Genomic DNA, 4,738 nt, shown 5'->3' with positions numbered 1-4,738 from the left:
TGCAGCAAACCACTGTGGCATGTGTATACCTAGGTAACAAACCTGTACATTCTGCACATGTACCCCAGAACTTAAAGTATAATAAAAAAGTAATTTCAAATAAGAGGAAGATTCTGAAACAACCTCAGGAGAATAGATATGATTCAGAAATTCTCATTTGAAATGAAATGACTAAATTCATTTCAGGATGTTATTGCATGTATTGAGCTGGGCAGGATAAGACATTTGACATACATAAATTTGCTTAGCAGACAGAGCTACTGTGACTTCAACCACAGGCATATAACTGTATCTGTCAAAACTCTGTTAAACTTTCTGCAATGAAAGCAGAAACAGAAGAACATGTCTGAATACAAATTAGTTGTGTTCTATTTTTCCCGAATCTGATCATTTCTGTTAACTTTTAGTAAATTGCAAGGAAAACAAAAAACCTAGGAAGACCAGTGTCTTAGTCCATTTTCTGCTGCTGTAACAGACTATCACAGAGTGGGTAATTTATAAACATTAAAAATGTATTTGGCTCACGGTTCTAGAGGCTGAGAAGTCCAAGAGCATGGCACTGCCTATTAAGGCCCATTGTGCTTTGTCATCCCATGTTGGAAGGCAGAAGGGAAGGAAAGCATGAGAGAGAAGTGGAGAAAGAATGTCAAACTCACTTTTATGACAACACATTCTTAAAATAACAACTTTAGTATACTTGTAAGGGTGGAACATTTAAAGCCTAATCACTCCTTAATGGCTCTGTGTTTTAATTCTACCACAATATCAATTAAAATTCAATATGAGTTTTGGATGAGGCTTCAAACCACAGCAGAAAGCAAATATAATATTCCCTTTCATCTAATTTCAATGAGTCAATAATCGTATAATAAAAGGAATACGTGATACAATAAGATTTTACATCATATGCACTAATCATAGCCTATTAATAACGGAGAACTTTGCATCATAAAATTTGGTTAATTCTACTTTCAGCACACTAAAATAAATACAATGACAAAGTATTTTTCACTTGTTTTTGACATGTGAATATGCATAACACAAAAATTAATAAATGTTATTTGAAATGTGTGTTAAAATTTAAAATATATATGTCTTTCCACATAATTGCAAATCCAAACATATAGACCTAGTAGAGTTTTATCATAATTCAAGTCAATGTAAACTTATTAAGAACCAGTTGTGTACCAGAATCTAGCTAAATGCTTTCAACAAACATTGATCTTTATTTCTCACAATTATATGGAGAAATATATGACTTCAAACATAGGTAGAGAGACCCAGAGAATGAATAATTGACATTGTAAAGACTACATATCAGTCATATGACAGCGCTACACATCCAATCTAAGATCTCTGACATGACAACTGGAAATGTGACACCATCATTCTACAAGTACCTACCACCAAGGTTTTCAGGCACTTACCTCATTTACAGCTGAAATACTTTCTATTTCTATCATAATTCCTATGTAAGTCAAGTTTTCACACTATTAACATATGAAATCCATTAAAAATATCCATTGAATTACTAATGTCATTCTGTAATCTTAATATGCCAATAATATGAAAAATAAATATCTTTGATTTAGATCATTTTGTGTTCCTCATTGAATGTTAAGTGTTTAGCAAAAGCTTAAGTGTTCATTTTCTCTGTACTATCTATAATGGTAAAGCATGTTTTTAAGTACCTCTATCTTTTGGGTATAACAAAATATTTTAAGTATCCAATGTATTATGATTACTTATGTATTTATAGCTATAATTGTTATTGCCATGGTAAAAGGCAAACACATTTATCTAAGTCTCTAAATATCCCTTTTGTCCTTCTCTGCTGTATTTTATACATGTTCCTATTATTTCATTCATCACATAATACTAAAATCCAGTTAAAGAGGTGTCTGTCTCCTCTATTAACCTCTGAGATCCTCGAGGACAGAGTCGGTGCCTGTTTCATGTTTGGATTCCCATACTTCACATTGAAATAGAACTGCGCTCAACAGATTAATGAACTATTAAGTTCATAAGACTATGAGAATTTAATGTGGCTAATACGTCGAAGTTAAATGAAGTCTGACTGTTGCCGGTTGTAGAACTCTAATGGGACTTTCTAATAGATTTGTTATCCTTGCCGATCATCTCTCACTCAAGTGAGTGACATTTTACTGTCCTAAATATAAAGTTGGGAATGAAAATCATACCAGTCTTATTTGATGCTCCTGTTGTTTTCATCGCTGATGTTGTTAAAAAACAAAAACAAAAACAAAAACTAGCTACATCAGTTTAGAGTCAGGCATTCTTACCTTTTACATTTGAAACCATTGCTAATTTTTATTATCTGTGTATTTTCATTAGAAACTTGATTCTGAAGAACTAGACTATCTTACCCAAATATTCACTTTGATACATCAAAACCAAATTACTTACAAATATTTGAGTTAAAATTAAATTTCTGTACTGACTAGTAGGGAAAAATTTAAGTCTCGGCGGAGACTTAATACGTTAGAGTGGGGCTAACTTTTCAGCAGTTCTCAGATATAATGATTCTGCTTATATTTTGCCACTAGTAAGTAAAAGGGAATGTGTAAATACATATAAGGGAATTAAACCAACTCTTTTATTTTTCTAAATATTGACCTATGAAAAAGATTTGAAAATTATCAACGGTTGATCTAAACTAAAAAAGAAATTGATTTTAATTGCTAGATTAACTAAATTATATGTAAAAATATTCACGAAATTAAAATTGCTATTAAGATATTTTATAGGTTTTTAGGGAAGTGTTTCTCGTGTATAGATTTGTCTACTACATAATAATAATTCTACTCATAAGCAAGTGAATATGTTGGATAAAATTATATGAGACTACTGTCTATCATATTCAATGATTTGTTGTTGAATTAATACTTACCTGAACTTAAAAATTGAATTCCAATAGCATTGAAATAAACAACCAAAACACATACACACACACACACATACACACACACAGAGCAAATAGGAACAACAATAGCATTAGTTATGTTGCCACTGAATATACAATTTTCCTCTTTTTGAAACATACAAGTTGCCTTGTTCTAATTAAAATTCTTAGGGAGTAGGTCATAGAGCTGCTTCATAAAGAAAGAATTCATATTATAAATTAGCATTTTATCATTAAGATGAAAATCCCTTGAGAGATATGACTGGGAGCATTATGTGGATAGAAACTGAACTTGTGCCATATTTGCACTCAGGAAGAACATGTCTTTATTCTTCGAAATAGATCTTTGTTAAAAAATAATTACCTATAATAACTGTTAGAATTAAACAGATACATAACAACCTCCCTCAGAAATACTATTTTTAAAAGTAAAATATTTAAACTTTTTCCTCACGGTTTAGAATATTTAAACTTATTGCAAATATATTATTTATTCTCTTGATAGACCTTATAATTGTATTCATGGATGTTTATTTTCTGCCCTGTGGTCTAGGAAGAGAGTTAAAAGTTAGGAAAAAAGTATACCTTTATCACCTTCTGGGAACTTCAAATTATCCTGAAAATCTTCACTATAATGATTTTCTTTAGGGTAAAGAATGTTTCCCAAGATTACTTCCATCGCTTAGCTAATGCAAATTTAAATCATAGGTTTGTTTAGAATATAATATATTATTTCGACTTTTAAGAATAAAAATGAAATAAATGAGCATTTTAAACATTACCATGGTCAAACACTGATAATACCTGAAATCTGATCTATTTTCTTGTACTTGGAATTATTTTCACTTGCAACTTTGTAATATGTATCATCATAGGATATATACACACTGTCATAGAACTCCAGGTATACAGAAACAATGCTGAAAACATCAAATTTTAAAAATGAAGCATAAAACATATTCTTCAGAAAAATCAAGGAGTTCCATCAGTAGGTATATGGAAATTTTGCTCTTTAAATGTCACTTAATTTTTTTTTAGTGATTAGGTTTTCTAAAAATGCTATTCAAGTAATAATAAAAACAGTGTAAATTCTAGCCCATCTGCATAAGTTTAGCTGCAATATGATTCTAATCAAATCACAAATGGAAATTAAATTAAATCCATTTTGATTTATGCCTGAGGTGTCTCAATCTGAACATTTCATCAAACTAATCAAACTAATTCACATCTAATGTTATGAAGATAATTGATGCAAAGCAATAAAAAACAAATTTCAATAAGCCATGCAGCTAATTTCTCTAACTATATACTTGAAATCAATGGAAGTATAATGTGCGTATATGTATGTGTGTGTGTGTGTGTGTGTGTGTGTGTGTGTGTGTGCGCTTAACTATATTTACATTAACCATCAATACTTCTATGGTACCTTAAGGAAAAAAAAACCCAGGACTCCTTATTTTAATTCAACTTTTTCCAGTTATAATTTTAAAAAAACCACATAGTCAATGAAATTAGATACTCAAGTTGGGCAAACTTTCTTTTTTTGTTTCTCATTTGTTTGTCTTATCAGCAAAGATTAATACAACCTGGGTAGTAGTCATGTATGTTTTCTCTACTTTTTATTTTGTAAATAGAGATAATACTTTTCTTCAACTTCTAAATAAATAATTAATACATATTAAATATGTTCCTATAGATTTTAAATTAAAAGTAAAATGCTTACATAAATGTTGCTTAAATAGCCAAATAATACTATAGGACTTATTACAAAAATAGTTTCCTTGACATACATAGTTATCCTTGATTTGTCAGACT

The sequence above is a fragment of the Homo sapiens genome, chromosome 21 (assembly GCF_000001405.40).
Source record: "Homo sapiens chromosome 21, GRCh38.p14 Primary Assembly".
In the NCBI taxonomy this organism is placed as follows: Eukaryota; Metazoa; Chordata; class Mammalia; order Primates; family Hominidae; genus Homo; species Homo sapiens.
Note: the sequence above shows the minus strand (reverse complement) of the source record.